The following is an 18796-nucleotide window of genomic DNA, read 5'->3' as shown; positions in this document are numbered from 1 at the left end:
TGCCCACTTTTTGTCCCCATCAATTCATTCTATTAATCTCCCTTAATATGACCACGGAAAGGTCATGATTAGTCTCCCAGTTGTCAAATGTGATGACCTTTAACCAGGCTTTCTTGTCCTTGACTTCTCCAAGAATTTGACAGTGTTAAATACTCCCCTTTTCCTGAATTCTTTTCTACCTGTTCTATCCTGGCTAGAGTCATGGGCTTTAGAATCCCACCAAACTGACTTTGAATCCTTGCTCTGCCATTTTCTGACTTTATGAGCTAGGAAGTAGTCACTTCTGCTCTGTGCCTCAGTTTGGTTATCCATAAAGTAGGAGTAACAGTATCACCCTATCTTACAGGGTTCCATAAGGTGAAAATTAAATGAACAAATATATGTGAAATAATTAGTGAGCCCTCTGGCTCGGCTCTTTTTTCTTCCCTTCAAGTGTGTCCTGTGTTCAGGTACCTGAATTTGAGTCTCTGTCATCTCAGTCAACACTTCTCTCTTGGATCTCTCCTGTGGTTTTTGCTTGCCCCCTCTGGGTAAATGAGAATGACTTTCTAATCATTATCCCTTATTCTGATCTCTAACTCAAGCGTCAGTCCCACCTCACTATATAGAGTGCTCATTATAAAAGATAAGGACACAATGGTTCACTTTCATTATATAATGGCAAGAGAAGGTAAAATCAGCCTGGGTAGAATGGGCTAAAGCTAGGGTAACCATCTGTTTCCGGTTGCTCAGACTGTTCCTGGAGAATGCATGTCATCCCAGTGTACTGTCCAATGATCACTTCCTTTCTTGCTCAATAGGGTCACAGTTAAGAGAATAAATTACATGTTCACTTTAGTTAAAGCCAATGTTTGAGTAAAGATGACTGGTTGAGTTATTCTATTTACTTGGCCATTCATTGGGTCATTTACTCAACAGATATTCCTCTGGGTAAGTCCCTGGGGCCAGAATACTAGACAACATGTGATCCTCACTCAAGAAGTTCATAGTCCAGTGGGTGGGACATATAGTAAATCATTGATTACAGAATACTGCCATCAATGCTATTATAAGGGTGAACCCAGGATGACACAGGAATGCAAAAGAAGGAGAGAAAGAGAAAGAGAGTGAGAGAGAGCTCCAGGGGATTGAAGGAGTGTGGTTGGATTTGGGAAGGGATAGACGTTTTCCAGAAGAGGTATCAGGAAAACACTGGCTTTATGAAGTTAATATACAGTATTAGGGTAAGGGTTTAGGAAAGGGAGAAGGGGAAAACAATATGGACATTTTCAAAGAATGTAGTTTTGCCTACATCATGCCCCAGGCGGCAGAGAATCCCTTAGCAAAAAAAAAAAAAAAAAAAAAATTGCAACTCTGGGGGTGTTTGCTTTCCTCCACAAGGCTCTTTAAGTCCTCTTGCTTGATATCAATGCTCCAAAGTACTCCATCATAAAGAGATGTTTAAAAATTCCTCCTAATTAAGACAATTTCAACACAATTTGAAATTTTCTATTAATTTTAATGTTTATTATTTAAAAATTTTGTTTTACTGAATTTCTCTTCAGAGATAACAGGCACAGCAAAATGTCTATAGCAGTCCCTGGTAATGTTGGGAATAGGGTAAAGGGTTAGAACTTTGTGTTCAAATTAGCCTGTCTCACGAACGGCTAGGACCCCGTAACTGGTGCTGAAGGCCAATTGTCAGCACTGCCTCTACCCCTCAGACGGGCCTTCCTTTAACTGTCCCCAGCCACAGAGAAGCTTATGGAAATGGTTGAGAAATGTCTTTAATCCCAGTTCAAATGAGGATCTGTATAACTGTGTAACTCCAGCTTCCAGTGGGCATGTGGTTTTCTTGACTATGTCATTTTGTAGAGTTTTGAATTTGTTGCTTTTATCAGACAGAATTCTTGATCTCACATGAAACCTGTGCTAATTGGAGTAAAAGAAAAATTTTGGAAGGATATTGGGTAGATCACAAAATCTACAGGGATGGGGATGGAGAACTACACTTGAAGAATTGGTGAGGAAGACCTCACTGTAAATCTGCTAAAGACACCATTCTGGCACTGCTGCTAACAGCCAGGAGTGCTTTGCTCCAGAAACTTGCTTCTGTGGTTCTGGACTTTTGGCTCCCTCAGGGCCCCACTGCGCATTTGTAGAACTCACTTTCAACTCAGACAGAATCATCTGATTATCTGAGACTGGGTTGCCCAAGCAATAGCTGCAAGCAAACTGATAGAGAAAATTTTTCTCCTTTAGGGTCTGTCTTCCACCTGTCGTGGGACTTCTGTGCCCTCCACTCCAAAAAAGGGCTGTTTGGATGCAGTAGAAAACAAAAAGAAGACACACAGAGAGAGAGAGAGAGAGAGAGAGAGAGAGAGAGAGAGAATCCTAGAAGTATTAAAACTTAAATATGAAAGACAGGACAATAAGACTTCTCAAAAGACAACTTTGTAGAAGTATCTTTATGACCTTGGGGCAGATATAAATTTCTAAATAGGATACAACAACAGCAACTGTAAAAATAGATGGATAACTTGGACTTCAATAAAATTAAGAACATCTGTTTACTAGAAAATACTAGAATGAAATGGAAAATATATGCCGCAGAGTAGAAGTAGGAGAATATGTTATTTGCCATGTATAGTTATATTTACGTCTATATCTATTTGGCATGTACATGGCACATATAAGGAACGTAACATATATAAAGAACAAGAAAAAGAAAGACAAACATTATTTTAATGGGCAAATACTTGACAGTTACTTCACAAAAGAAGATATCCAAATGGTCAGTAACATAAAAAGATCTTCAACCTCATTAGTTATGAGAGAAATGCCAGTCCAACCCATAATGACATACTACTATATGTATATTAGAAAGGCTAAAATGAAAAAAACTGACAGTAGTAAGTGTTAGTAAGGATGTTGAGCAACTGGAACATTTATGCGTGCTGATGGGATTGATACAGCCATGCTTAGAAACAGTTTGGCAAAATCTAAAACACACATCTACCTTACAACTCAGCAATTTCACTTTTAGGTATACAGCCAATGTGTGCAGAGTACATCAAAAGACATCAGATGGTTAGACTGGTTAGATCTGTTTGTTAGATCCCTTTGTCAGATGGATAGATTGCAATGTGTGCAGAGTACATCAAAAGATCATATATGAATGATCATAGCTGCTGTATTCATAATAGCTCTAAGCTACAAATAACCTTACTATCAATCAACAAAACATAAGAATAAATTTTGTTATAGTCGTATAATGGAATACTACCTGGCAACAACTACATACAGCATGAGTTAATCTCACTGACACGAGAGAACAAAAAGCACCAGAAACAAAAGAGTATATACTGGATGATTTCAGTTATATAATTATCAAATCAAGTAAAACATCTGTAGTGATGGAGGTCAGAATAGTGGTTACTTTTGGGGTATTGAATGGGATGGAGCTTTCTAGGGTGTTGGAAATATTCTATATCTTGCTCTTGAGCTGTGCAATCAAGATTTGTGCACTTGACAGTATGCTTGTTACACTTCAATAAAAATGTTTTTTAAAGGTTGCTCATAAAAATAGCTCTGTTTATTTGGTTTTCATTAAATAAATATATCTACATGGTAATGATTAAAATGGGACAGAAATTCTTATGATGAAAATAGGTAGTCTCTTGTCTCACCACTCCTTATTTCTAGTACTAATCACCAGATTTAGTTCTTAAAATAATTTTTTTCTTGTAGGTCTTATGCTATAATTTGATATAATGTGTTTATACTTCAATTTCTTGATTTATATACTTTAGATAACATACATGGATTTTTCACTACACATAAGAGATTTGTGTCACATACACAATTTTCCCCTTATCTATCCCTAATATTATATATATATATTCTGTTCTTATAACTTGATTTATGTATTTATTTTCTTTTTATTATACTTTAAGTTTTAGGGTATGTGTGCACAACATGTAGGTTAGTTACATATGTATCCATGTGCCCTGTTGGTGTGCTGCACCCATTAACTCATTTACATTAGGTATATCTCCTAATGATATCCCTCCCCACTGCCACAACCCCACAACAGGCCCCAGTGTGTGATGTTCCCCTTCCTGTGTCCATGTGTTCTCATTATTCAGTTCCCACCTATGAGTGAGAACATGCGGTGTTTGGTTTTTTGTCCTTGTGATAGTTTGCTGAGAATGATGGTTTCCAGCTTCATCCATGTCCCTACAAAGGACATGAACTCATCATTTTTTATGGCCGCATAGTATTCCATGGTGTATATGTGCCACATTTTCTTAATCCACTCTATCATTGTTGGTCATTTGGGTTGGTCCCAAGTCTTTGCTATTGTGAATAGTGCCGCAATAAACATACGTGTGCATATGTCTTTATAGCAGCATGATTTATAATCCTTTGGGTATATACCCAGTAATGGGATGGCTGGGTCAAATGGAATTTCTAGTTCTAGATCCCTGAGGAATCGCCACACTGACTTCCACAATGGTTAAACTAGTTTACAGTCCCACCAACAGTGTAAAAGTGTTCCTGTTTCTCCAAATCCTCTCCAGCACGTGTTGTTTCCTGACTTTTTAATGATCGCCATTCTAACTGGTGTGAGATGGTATCTCATTGTGGTTTTGATTTGCATTTCTCTGATGGCCAGTGATGATGAGCATTTTTTCATGTGTTTTTTGGCTGCATAAATGTCTTCTTTTGAGAAGTGTCTGTTCATATCCTTTGCCCGCTTTTTGATGGGGTTGTTTGCTTTTTTTCTTGTAAATTTGTTTGAGTTCATTGTAGATTCTGGATATTAGCCCTTTGTCAGATGAGTAGGTTGCAAAAATTTTCTCCCATTCTGTAGGTTGCCTGTTCACTCTGATGGTAGTTTCTTTTGCTGTGCAGAAGCTCTTCAGTTTAATTAGATCCCATTTGTCAATTTTGGCTTTTGTTGCCATTGCTTTTGGTGTTTTAGACATGAAGTCCTTGCCCATGCCTATGTCCTGAATGGTATTGCCTAGGTTTTCTTCTAGGGTTTTTATGGTTTTAGGTCTAACATGTAAGTCTTTAATCTGTCTTGAATTAATTTTTGTATAAGGTGTAAGGAAGGGATCCAGTTTCAGCTTTCTACATATGGCTTGCCAGTTTTCCCAGCAGCATTGATTAAATAGGGAATCGTTTCCCCATTTCTTGTTTTTCTCAGGTTTGTCAAAGATCAAATGGTTGTAGATATGCGGCATTGTTTCCGAGGGCTCTGTTCTGTTCCATTGGTCTATATCGCTGTTTTGGTACCAGTACCATGCTGTTTTGGTTACTGTAGCATTGTAGTATAGTTTGAAGTCAGGTAGTGTGATGCCTCCAGCTTTGTTCTTTTGGCTTAGGATTGACTTGGCAATGTGGGCTCTTTTTTGGTTCCATATGAACTTTAAAGTAGTTTTTTCCAATTCTGTGAAGAAAGTCATTGGTAGCTTGTTGGCATTGAATCTATAAATTACCCTGGGCAGTATGGCCATTTTCACGATATTGATTCTTCCTACCCATGAGCATGGAATGTTTTTACATTTGTTTGTATCCTCCTTTATTTCATTGAGCAGTGGTTTGTAGTTCTCCTTGAAGAGGTCCTTCACATCCCTTGTAAGTTGGTTTCCTAGGTATTTTATTCTCTTTGAAGCAATTGTGAATGGGAGTTCACTCATGATTTGGCTCTCTGTTTGTCTGTTATTGGTGTATAAGAATGCTTGTGATTTTTGCACGTTGATTTTGTATCCTGAGACTTTGCTGAAGTTGCTTATCAGCTTAAGGAGATTTTGGGCTGAGACAATGGGGTTTTCTAGATATACAATCATGTCATCTGCAAACAGGGACAATTTGACTTCCTCCTTTCCTAATTGAATACCCTTTATTTCCTTCTCCTGTCTGATTGCCCTGGCCAGAACTTCCAACACTATGTTGAATAGGAGTGGTGAGAGAGGTCATCCCTGTCTTGTGCCAGTTTTCAAAGGGAATGCTTCTAGATTTTGCCCATTCAGTATGATATTGGCTGTGGGTTTGTCATAGATAGCTCTTATTATTTTGATATACATCCCATCAATATCTAATTTATTGGGAGTTTTTAGCATGAAGCGTTGTTGAATTTTGTCAAGAGCCTTTTCTGCATCTATTGAGATAATCATGTGCTTTTTGTCATTAGTTCTGTTTATGTGCTGGATTACATTTATTGATTTGCATATGTTGAACCAGCCTTGCATCCCAGGGATGAAGCCCACTTGATCATGGTGGATAAGCTTTTTGATGTGCTGCTGGATTCGGTTTGCCAGTATTTTATTGAGGATTTTTACATCGATGTTCATCAGGGATATTGGTCTAAAATTTTCTTTTCTTGTTGTGTCTCTGTCAGGCTTTGGTATCAGGATGATGCTGGCCTCATAAAATGAGTTAGGGAGGATTCCCTCTTTTTCTATTGATTGGAATAGTTTCAGAAGGAATGGTACCAGCTCCTCCTTGTACCTCTGGTAGAATTTGGCTGTGAATCCGTCCGGTCCTGGACTTTTTTTGGTTGGTAAGCTATTAATTATTACCTCAATTTCAGAGCCTGTTATTGGTCTATTAAGAGATTCAACTTCTTCCTGGTTTAGTCTTGGGAGGATGTATGTGTTGAGGAATGTATCCATTTCTTCTAGATTTTCTAGTTTATTTGCGTAGAGGTGTTTATAGTATTCTCTGATGGTAGTTTGTAATTCTGTGGGATCTGTGGTGATATCCCCTTTATCATTTTTAATTGTGTCTATTTGATTCTTCTCTCTTTTCTTCTTTATTAATCTTGCTAGCAGTCTATCAATTTTGTTGATCTTTTCAAAAAACCAGCTCCTGGATTCATTGATTTTTTGAAGGGTTTTTTGTGTCTCTATCTCCTTCAGCTCTGCTCTGATCTTAGTTATTTCTTGCCTTCTGCTAGCTTTTGAATGTGTTTGCTCTTGCTTCTCTAGTTCTTTTAATTGTGATGTTAGGGTGTCAATTTCAGATCTTTCCTGCTTTCTCTTGTGGGCATTTAGTGCTATAAATTTCCCTCTACACACTGCTTTGAATGTGTCCCAGAGATTCTGGTATGTTGTGTCTTTGTTCTCTTTGGTTTCAAAGAACATCTTTGTTTCTGTCTTCATTTTGTTATGTACCCAGTAGTCATTCACGAGCAGGTTGTTCAGTTTCCATGTAGTTGAGCAGTTTTGTGTGAGTTTGATTGCACTGAGTTCTAGTTTGATTGCACTGTGGTCTGAGAGACAGTTTGTTATAATTTCTGTTCTTTTACATTCGCTGAGGAGTGCTTTACTTCCAACTGTGTGGTCAATTTTGGAATAGGTGTGGTGTGGTGCTGAAAAGAATGTATATTCTGTTGATTTGCGGTGGAGAGTTCTGTAGATGTCTACTAGGTCTGCTTGGTGCAGAGCTGAGTTCAGTTCCTGGATATTCTTGTTAACTTTCTGTCTCGTTGATCTGTCTAATGTTGACAGTGGGGTGTTAAAGTCTCCCATTATTATTGTGTGGGAGTCTAAGTCTATTTGTAGGTCTCTAAGGACTTGCTTTATGAATCTGGGTGCTCCTGTATTGGGTGCATATATATTTAGGATAGTTAGCTCTTCTTGTTGAATTGATCCCTTTACCATTATGTAATGGCCTTCTTTGTCTGTTTTGATCTTTGTTGGTTTAAAGTCTGTTTTATCAGAGACTAGGATTGCAACCCCTGGCTTTTTTTGTTTTCCATTTGCTTGGTAGATCTTCCTCCATCCCTTTATTTTGAGCCTATGTGTGTCTCTGCATGTGAGATGGGATTCTTGAATACAGCACAGTGATGGGTGTTGACTCTTTATCCAATTTGCCAGTCTGTGTCTTTTAATTGGAGTATTTAGCCCATATACATTTAAGGTTAATATTGTCATGTGTGAATTTGATCCTGTCATTATGATGTTAGCTGGTTATTTTGCTCGTTAGTTGATGCAGTTTCTTCCTAGCCTCGATGGTCTTTACAATTTGGCATGCTTTTGCAGTGGCTGGTACCAGTTGTTCCTTTCCATGTTTAGTGCTTCCTTCAGGAGCTCTTTTAGGGCAGGCCTGGTGATGACAAAATCTCTCAGCATTTGCTTGTCTGTAAAGGATTTTATTTCTCCTTCACTTCTGAAGTTTAGTTTGGCTGGATATGAAATTCTAGATTAAAAATTCTTTTCTTTAAGAAGGTTGAATATTGGCCCCCACTCTCTTCTGGCTTATAGAGTTTCTGCTGAGAGATGAGCTGTTAATCCGATGGCCTTCCCTTTGTGGGTAACCCGACCTTTCTCTCTGGCTGCCCTTAACATTTTTCCCTTCATTTCAACTTTGGTGAATCTGACAATTATGTGTCTTGGAGTTGCTCTTCTCGAGGAGTATCTTTGTGGCATTCTCTGTATTTCCTGAATGTGAATATTGGTCTGCCTTGCTAGATTGGGGAAGTTCTCCTGGATAATATCCTGCAGAGTGTTTTCCAACTTGGTTCCATTCTCCCCATCACTTTCAGGTACAACAATCAAACGTAGGTTTGGTCTTTTCACATAGTCCCATATTTCTTGGAGGCTTTGTTCGTTTCTTTTTATTCTTTTTTCTCTAAACTTCTCTTCTCACTTCATTTCATTCATTTGATTTTCCATCACTGATACCCTTTCTTCCAGTTGATTGAATCGGCAACTGAGGCTTGCGCATTTGCCACGTAGTTCTCGTGCCATGGTTTTCAGCTCATCAGGTCCTTTAAGGACTTCTCTGCATTGGTTATTCTGCTTAGCCATTCGTCTAATCTTTTTTCAAGGTTTTTAACTTCTTTGCAATGGGTTCGAACTTCCTCCTTTAGCTCAGAGTAGTTTGATCATCTGAAGGTTTCTTTGCTCAACTCGTCAAAGTCAGTCTACGTCCAGCTTTGTTCCATTGCTGGTGAGGAGCTGCGTTCCTTTCAAGGAGGAGAGGCTCTCTGATTTTTACAGTTTCCAGTTTTTCTGCTCTGTTTTTTCCCCATCTTTGTGGTTTTATCTACCTATGGTCTTTGATGATGGTGACGTACAGATGGGGTTTTGGTGTGGATGTCCTTTGTGTTTACTTTTCCTTCTAAGAGTCAGGACCCTCAGCTGCAGGTCTGTTGGAGTTTGCTGGAGGTCCACTCCAGGCCCTGTTTGCCTGGGTATCAGCAGCAGAGGCTGCAGAACAGCGGATATTGGTGAACAGCAAATATTGCTGCCTGATTGTTCCTCTGGAAGTTTTGTCTCAGAGGAGTACCCGGCAGTGTGAGATGTCAGTCTGCCCCTACTGGGGGGTGCCTCCCAGTTAGGCTACTTGGGGGTCAGGGAACCACTTGAAGAGGCAGTCTGCCTGTTCTCAGATCTCAAGCTGTGTGCTGGGAGAACCACTACTCTCTTCAAAGCTGTCAGACAGGGACATTTAAGTCTGCAGAGGATTCTGCTGCCTTTTGTTTGGCTATGCCCTGCCCCCAGAGGTGGAGTCTACAGAGGCAGGCAGGCCTCCTTGAGCTGCGGTGGGCTCCACCAAATTCGAGCTTCCTGGCCACTTTGTTTACCTACTCAAGCCTCGGCAATGGTGGGCGCCCCTCCCCCAGCCTCGCTGCCACCTTGCAGTTTGATCTCAGACTGCTGTGCTAGCAATGAGTGAGGATCCATGGGCGTAGGACCCTCTGAGCCATGCGTGGGATATAATCTCCTGGTGTGCCATTTGCTAAGACCTTTGGAAAAGCGCAGTATTAGGGTGGGAGTGACCCAATTTTCCAGGTGCCATCTGTCACCCCTTTCTTTGACTAGGAAAGGGAATTCCCTGACCCCTTGCACTTCCCGGGTGAGGTGAGGCCTCGCCCTGCTTCAGCTCACGCTCGTTGCAGTGCACCCACTGTCCTGCACCCACTTTCTGACACTCCCCATTGAGATGAACCCGGTACCTCAGTTGGAAATGCAGAAATCACCCGTCTTCTGCTTCACTCACGCTGGGAACTGTAGACTGGAGCTGCTCCTATTCGGCCATCTTGGCTCCACCCTATATGTACATAAACTGTCATCTCTTGTCCTGTCAACGTTAGACAGTATCTGTCTACTACCCACTTTATAAGATACTGATAATAGTAACTCTCCATTTTCTTTTAAGCTTTCTCTCCAATTCTTCCTCTTTTTTTTCTTTCTTTTTTTTTTTATTAGACTTTAAGTTCTGGAGTACATGTGCGGAATGTACGGGTTTGTTACATAGGTATACATGTGCCATGGTGGTTTGCTGCACCCATCAACCCATCATTTATATTAGGTATTTCTCCTAATGCTATCCCTCCCCTAGCTTCCCACCCCCTGACAGGCCCCAGTGTGTGATGTTCCCCTCCCTGTGTCTATGTGTTCTCATTGTTCAATTCTCACTTATGAGTGAGAACATACAGTGTTTAGTTTTCTGTTTTTGTGATAGTTTGCTGAGAATGGTGGTTTCTAGCATCATCTATATCCCTGCAAAGGACATGAACTCATCCTTTTTTAAGGCTGCATAGTATTCCATGGTGTATATGTGCTATATTTTCTTTATCCAGCCTATCATTGATGAGCATTTGGGTTTGTTCCAAGTCTTTGCTATTGTGAATAGTGCCACAATAATATTTGTGCATGTGTCTTTATAGTAGAATGATTTATAATCTTTTGGGTATATTCTCAGTAATGGGATTGCTGGGTCAAATCTTATTTCTAGTTCTAGACCCTTAGACCCTTGAGGAATTGCCACACTGTCTTCCACAATGGTTGAACTAATTTACACTCCCATCAACAGTGTAAAAGTGTTCCTATTTTTCCACATCCTCCCCAGTGTCTGTTGTATCCTGACTTTTTAATGATCGCCATTCTAACTGGTGTGAGATGGTATCTCATGGTGGTTTTGATTTGCATTTCTCTAATGACCACTGATGATGAGCTTTTTTTCATGTTTGTTGGCGCATAAATGTCTTCTTTTGAGAAGTGTCTATTCATATCCTTCACCCACTTTTTGATGGGGTTGTTTGTTTTTTCTTGTAAATTTGTTTAAGTTCTTTCTAGATTCTGGATATTAGCCCTTTGTCAGATGGATAGATTGCAAAAATTTTCTTCCATTATGTAGGTTGCCTGTTCACTCTGATTATAGTTTCCTTTGCTGTGCAGAAGATCTTTAGTTTAATTAGATCCTATTTGTCTATTTTGGCTTTTGTTGCCATTACTTTAGGTGTTTTAGTCATGAAGTCTTTGCCCATGCCTATGTCCTTAATGGTATTGCCTGGGTTTTCTTCTAGGGTTTTTATGGTTTTAGGTATTACATTTAAGTCTTTAATCCATCTGGAATTGATTTTTGTATAAGGTGTAAGGAAGGAATCCAGTTTCAGCTTTTTACATATGGCTAGCCAGTGTTCCCAACACCATTTATTAAATAGGGAATCCTTTTCACATTGCTTGTTTTTGTCAGGCTTGTCAAGGATCAGATGGTTGTAGATGTGTAGCATTATTTCTGAGGCCTCTGTTCTGTTCCATTGGTCTATATATCTGTTTTAGTACCAGTACCATGCTGTTTTGGTTACTGTAGACTTGTAGTATAGTTTGCAGTCAGGTAGCATGATGCTTCCATGTTTGTTCTTTTTACTTAGGATTGTCTTGGCTATGCAGGGCCTTTTTTAGTTTCATATGAAATTCAAAGTAGTTTTTTCCAATTCTGTGAAGAAAGCCAGTGGTAGCTTGATGGGGATAGCATTGAATCTATAAATTACCTTGGGCAGTATTGCCATTTTCACATTATTGATTCTTCTTGTCCGTGATCATGGAATGTTTTTCCATTTGTTTATGTCCTCCCTTATTTCCTTGAGCAGTGGTTTATAGTTCTCCTTGAAGAGGTCCTTCACATCCCTTGTAAGTTGGATTCCTAAATATTTTATTCTCTTGGTAGCTATTTTGAATGGGAGTTCACTCATGATTTGGCTGTCTGTCTGTTATTGTTGTATAGGAATGCTTGTGATTTTTGCACATTGATTTTGTATCCTGAGACTTTGCTGAAGTTGCTTATCAGCTTCAGGAGGTTTTGGGGTGAGATGATGGGGTTTCCTAAATAGACAATCATGTCATCTGCAAACGGACAATGTGTCTTCCTTTTTTCCTAATTGAATACCCTTTATTTCTTTCTCTTGCCTGATTGCCCTGGCCAGAATTTCCAGCACTATATTGAATAGGAGCGGTGAGAGAGGGCACCCTTGTCTTGTGCCAGTTTTCAAAGGGAATGCTTCAGGTTTTTGCCCATTCAGTATGATATTGGCTGTGGGTTTGTCATAGATAGCTCTTACTATTTTGAGATACGTCCCGTCAATACCTAATTTATTAAGAGTTTTTAGCCCATTCAGTATGATATTGGCTGTGGGTTTTGTTATAAATAGCTCTTATTATTTTGAGATACGTTCCATCAATACCTAGTTTATTGAGAGTTTTTAGCATGAAGCGCTGTTGAATTTTGTCAAAGGCCTTTTCTGGATCTATTGAGATAATCATGTGGTTTTGTCATTGGTTCTGTTTATGTGATGGATTACATTTATTGATTTGCATATGTTGAACCAGCCTTGCATCCCAGGGATGAAGCTGACTTGATCGTGGTGGATAAGCTTTTTGATGTGCTGATGGATTCAGTTTGTCAGTATTTTATGGAGGATTTTTGCGTTGATGTTCATCAGGGATATTGGCCTGAAATTTTGTTGTTGTTGTAGTGTCTCTGCCAGGTTTTGGTATCAGGATGCTGGCCTCATAAAATGAGTTAGGAAGGATTCCCTCTTTTTCTATGGTTTGAAATAGTTTCAGAAGGAATGGTATCAGCTCCTCCTTGTACCTCTGGTAGAATTTGGCTGTGAATCCGTCTGGTCCTTGACTTTTTTTTGGTTGGTAGGATATTAATTACTGCCTCAATTTCAGAACTCGTTATTGGTCTATTCAGGGATTCAACTTCTTTCTCGTTTAGTCTTGGGAGGGTGTATGTGTCCAGGAACTTATCCATTTCTTCTCGATTTTCTGGTTTATTTGCATAGAGGTGTTTATAGTATTCTCTGATGCTATTATGTATTTCTTTTCGATTGGTGGTGATATCTCTTTTACCTTTTTTATTGCATCTATTTGATTCTTCTCTCTTCTTTTCTTTATTAATCTGGCTAATGGTCTATTTTGTTGATCTTTTCAAAAAACCAGCTGCTGGATTCATTGATTTTTTGAAGGTTTGTTTGTATCTCTATCTCCTTCAGTTCTCCTCTGATCTTAGTTATTTCTTGTCTTCTGCTAGCTTTTGAATTTGTTTGCTCTTGCTCCTCTAGTTCTTTTAATTGTGATGTTAGGGTGTCAATTTTAGATCTTTCCTGCTTTTTCCTGTGGGCGTTTAGTGCCATAAATTTCCCTCTACACACTGCTTTAAATGTGTCCCAGAGATTCTGGTACATTGTGTCTTTGTTCTCTTTGGTTTCAAAGAACATGTTTATTGCTGTCTTAATTTCGTTATTTACTCAGCATTCATTCAGGAGCAGATTGTTCAGTTTCCATATAGTTGTGCAGTTTTGAGTGAGTTTCTTAATCCTGAGCTCTAATTTGTTTGCACTGTGTTCTGAGAGACTGTTATGATTTCCATTCTTTTGCATTTGCTGAGGAGTGTTTTACTTCCAAGTATGTGGCCAGTTTTAGAATAAGTGCAATGTGGTGCTGAGAAGAATGTATATTCTGTTGATTTGGATTGGAGAGTTCTGTAGATGTCTATTAGGTCTTCTTGGTCCAGAGCTGAGTTTAAGTCCTGGATGTCCTTGTTAATTTTCTGTCTCGTTGATCTGTCTAATATTGACAGTGGGATGTTAAAGTCTCCCACTATTATTGTGTGGCAGTCTAAGTCTCTTTATAGGTCTCTAAGAACTTGCTTTATGAATCTGGGTGCTCCTGTAATGGGTGCATATATATTTAGTTAGCTCTTCTTGTTGCATTGATCCCTTTGCCATTATGTAATGCCCTTCTTTGTCTCTTTTGATCTTTGTTGGTTTGAAGTCCGTTTTATCAGAGACTAGGATTGCAACCCCTGCTTTTTTTTGCTTTCCATTTGCTTGGTAAACATTCCTCCATCCCTTTATTTTGAGCCTAGGTGTGTCTTTGCATGTGAGATGGGTCTCCTGAATACAGCACACTGATGGGTCTTGATTCTATCCAATTTGCCAGTCTGTGTCTTTTAATTGGGGCCTTTAGCCCATTTACATTTAAGGTTAATATTGTTATGTGTGTATTTGATCCTGCCATTGTGATGCTAGCTAGTTGGTTATCTTGCCCATTAGTTGATGCAGTTTCTTCAGTGTCAATGGTCTTTACAATTTGGTATGTTTTTCAGTGGCTGGTACCGGTTGTGTCTTTCCATATTTAGTGCTTCCTTCAAGAGCTCTTGTAAGGCAGGTCTGGTGGTGACAGAATCTGTCAGCATTTGCTTGTCTGTAAAGGATTTTATTTTGCCTTCACTTATGAAGCTTAGTTTGGCTGGATATGAAATTCTGGATTAAAAATTCTTTTCTTTAAGAATGTTGAATATTGGCCCCCAATATCTTCCGGCTTGTAGGGTTTCTGCTGACAGATCTGCTGTTATTCTGATGGGCTTCCCTTTGTGGGTAACCTGACCTTTCTCTCTGGCTGTCCTTAACATTTTTTCATTCATTTCAACCTTTGTGAATCTGACTATTATGTATCTTGGGGTTGCTCTTATCGAGGAGTATATTTGTGGTGTTCTCTGTAATTCCTGAATTTGAATGTTGGCCTGTCTTGGTAGGTTGTGGAAGTTCTCCTGGATAATATCCTGAAGAGTGTTTTCCAACTTGGTTCCATTCTCCCCATCACTTTCAGGTACAACAATCAAACGTAGGTTTGATCTTTTCACGTAGTCCCATATTTCTTGGAGGGTTTGTTTGTTTGTTTCTTTTCACTCTTTTTTTTCTAATCTTGTCTTCTTGCTTTATTTCATTGAGTTCATCTTCAATGTGTGATATACTTTCTTCTGCTTGATCAATTCAGCTATTGACACTTGTGTATGCTTCACGACGTTCTCATGCTGTTTTTCAGCTCCATCAGGTCATTTATGTTCTTCTCTAAACTGGTTATTCTAGTTAACAATTTGTCTAACCTTTTTTCAAGTTTCTTAGCTTCCTTGCATTGGGTTAGATCATGTTCCTTTAGCTCAGAGGAGCTTGTTATTACCCACCTTCTGAAGCCTTCTTCTGTCAATTCGTCAAAATCATTCTCTGTCCAGTTTTGTTCCCTTGCTGGTGAGGAGTTGTGATCCTTTGGAGGAGAAGAGGCATTCAGATTTTTGGAATTTCAGGCTTTTTGCCCTGGTTTCTCCCCATCTTTGCAGATTTATCTACCTTTGGTCTTTGAAGTTGGTAACCTTTGGATAGGGTCTCTGAGTGGATGTCCTTTTTGTTGATGTTGATAGTATTCCTTTTTATTAGTTAGTTTTCCTTCTAACGGTCAGGCTCCTCTCCTGCAGGTCTGCTGGAGTTTGCTGGAGTTCCACTCCACAGCCTGATTGCCTGGGTATCACCAGCAGAGGATGCAGAACAGCAAAGATTGCTGCCTGTTCCTTTCTCTGGAAGCTTTGTCCCAGAGGGACACCTGCCAGATGCCAGCCAGAGCTCTCCTGTATGAGGTGTCTGTAGCCCCCTACTGGGAGATGTCTTCCAGTCAGGATACATGGGGGTCAGGGACCTACTTGAGGAGGCAGTCTGTTCCTTATCAGAGCTCGAACGCCATGCTGGGTGATCTGCTCTCTCTTCAGAGCTTCTAGGCAGGGACGCTTAAGTCTGCTGAAGCTGCACCCACAGCCACCCCTTCCCCCAGGTTCTCTGTCCCAGGTAGGTGGGGGTTTCATCTGTAAGTCCCTGACTGGGGCTGCTGTCTTTTTTTTCAGAGAGGGAATCTAGAGGAGACAGTCTGGCTGCAGTGGCGTTGTTTAGCTGTGGTGGGCTCCACCTAGTTCGAACTTGCTGGCAGCTTTGTTTATACTGTGAGGGTAAAATCTCCTACTCAAGCCTCAGCACTGGCAGACCCCCCTCCCCCAACCAAGCTCGAACACCCCAGGTCGAGTGGAGATCAGACTGCTGTGCTGAATATGAGACTTTTAAGCCAGTGGATCTTAGCTTGCTGGTCTCCATGGGGGTGGGACCCGCTGAACCAGACCACTTGGCTCCCTGGCTTCAGCCCCCTTTCTGGGGAAGTGAACAGTTGTATCTTGCTGGCATTCCACATGCCACTGGGTTATGAAAAAAAAAAAAAAAACTCCTGTGGCCAGCTTGGTGTCTACTCGAACGGCTGCCCAGTTTTATGCTGGAAACCCAGAGCCCTGGTGGTGTAGGCACTGGAGGGAATCTCCTGGTCTGTGGGTTGCAATGACTGTGGGAAAAGCACAGTATCTGGGCCCAGAGTGCACAGTATAGTTCCTAATGGCTTCCTTTGGCTAGGAGAGGGAGTTCCCTGACCCCTTCCACTTCCCAGGTGAGGCAACGCCCCACCCTTCTTCGGCTCACCCTCCTTGGGCTGCACCCACTGTCCAACAAGTCCCAATGAGATGAACCAGGTACCTCAGTTGGAAATGCAGAAATCACCCACATTCTGCATTGATCTCGCTGGGAGCTGCAGACCAGAGCTGTTCCTATTTGGCCATCTTGCCAGACTTCTCCCTTCCTTCCTCTTTTCATAAGCTCACTTTTTCTTTCTCATTGTCAAGGTTGCTGATGTTTGCATTTTGTTCTGCAATCACAAACAAGTCTTCTGTGCTTTGTCCACAGATTGACTCTAAAACATTGAACAATAAACATTATTAATAATTTTTACTACATATTGAACTTTTATGGTCCATGTAGTGGGCTTGCATTTTATTTTCTATAGAGAAGGGAATGAAATACAACAATCATTCAATGCAATGATCATTGAGCTATTTGATGAAAGATGCTTCTAGCATTAAGGTAGAAACAAATGATTACACCCATCCATTGTTTTAAAACATGCCTCTTTATTCAGAGACCTATGAGCTAAAAAAGACAATATATCCCCATTCTATATCCAATAACAACCTTGGAACACAAACGAGATAACCAAAGTACAGCTACCCTTCATTAAGGGGAAAATTGGGAGACACAGCAAAGGCAGGCATGAAGCAATCTTAAAATCTTGCTGCTACATATTGCATGGGACTAATCTGCTGGGGTTGAGGCATCTTCCTGATCCTGTTACTAGGGAGTAGCTCCTCATCCATTGTTCTCTAAAATTCTTTCTTTCCTCCTGGCCACATCTGAAGTGCGCATTGAAGAATATGTCCTCCTTAGTGTTTCAGCAGCTTACTCAGCCCACTTCCTTCTCATAGAATAGAGGTTGATTTTGACCTTTAGCACATTTGGGGGAAGAAGGAAATAAACACAGCACTCTCAAAAACTTAGCCTTTTTTTTTTTTTTTTTTTTTTACTTATTTGATTGGAGTCCACATTGTATGTCAATACCTGTTGCTGCATTTTTTTAAACTGTGTTTGTCCCCCTAGTTCCTTTCTGTATTTCTCTGTTTAAATGTGGGTATTTTGAATCTATCAGGTGTAGGTGGGAAAGCCTTGCCTTATCCTCTTCCTTCTGAGTCAGTTTGACCAACTGAAAGGATTTGCTGGTACCACAGTCTTGATTGGGTATTTAGTCTGAGACATAATCCATTCAGAGGTTACCAGTAAATGAGACAACCATATTTTTAAATTTGCTTTTCTTTATTATGCTACTTGTTCTCCTTTGCTTGGAGATCCTTGTCTGTCTTTCTATTTGTTCCAACAAGAATCCTGATGGGTAGCTCTGACTGTGGTGGAGTATAGTAGGTCATTCCTACATTACTTTACAGAATTCCCTACCATTCTAGGAAGGATTTACAAATCAAAAGCTTTAACAGAACATTATTTTTAAAATACTTGCAATTCTATACCCAGAGCAGTAACATTCATGGGGGTAATACATAGGATCTGTGTTTACAGTTATGTAACAGTAAGAATGCTACCTCTGATGTAGCCCCCATTTCTTGTTTTTTTTCAGTAGGATCCCTGGCTGCCCACTGACCTTTGATTTGGGGCAAAGAAAGAGGTAGTATGGGTAAGATCAATAAGCTGAAGGATGGCTTAGCACACTGGTAGTTCAACACAACACTGCAAGAAAGAAAAGACAGTGTGATACTATGGTTCTGCACCAGGAACAACAGACTAGAGATAGCTGTGGAATTGGCAGGTTCTTCATAATGACAAAAGATACATTAATTGGGGGTAGCCTGGTTAAGGTCCGTACTAGCTTATAAGACAACCAGAGATTGGAAAGGGTGGAGTGGGAATGTGTCAAGGTGGTACATCACAATATCACAATAATCTTCTCTCTCCTTGGCAATCAGTGGGAGGGAATCTGCCCTCTTGTGGGACATGACCTTTAAAGCCCAAGATAGAATTTATAGTCAGTATCTAAACTAGACCAAAACACAACCTTGTTACTCCATGGCCAGACACAGGGGAGATGGGTAGAGAGTGGAGGGCAGTTATGAGACTGGCTGCTCTTTGAGGATGAAAGACAGTGGTGACTCCTTAAGTTGGGTGGATGGTAGACTCCCTTCTATGGGTTTGCATCTGCAGGAATAGTATTTGAGCTCATGGGACATGGCCAGTACTTCTCCAGTGAGGAAGAGGGTATGATTGAGGAATAAATGATAGGTATCTCTGAGCAGGAGCTGATCC

General features: G+C 40.2%; 1 long non-coding RNA gene across 2 annotated transcripts in view; it reads left to right on the top strand.

Moving 5' to 3' along the window:
* LOC105374126 (uncharacterized) overlaps nucleotides 1-18796 on the top strand; it is an 87216-nt gene that overhangs the window by 43496 nt on the left and 24924 nt on the right. The gene's annotated exons all lie outside the window — the stretch shown is intronic.

Source organism: Homo sapiens, chromosome 3 (genome assembly GCF_000001405.40).
Source record: "Homo sapiens chromosome 3, GRCh38.p14 Primary Assembly".
NCBI lineage: Eukaryota > Metazoa > Chordata > Mammalia > Primates > Hominidae > Homo > Homo sapiens.
The sequence above is the reverse complement of the archived record's forward strand: the minus strand, read 5'-3'. Positions and strand labels throughout refer to the sequence as shown.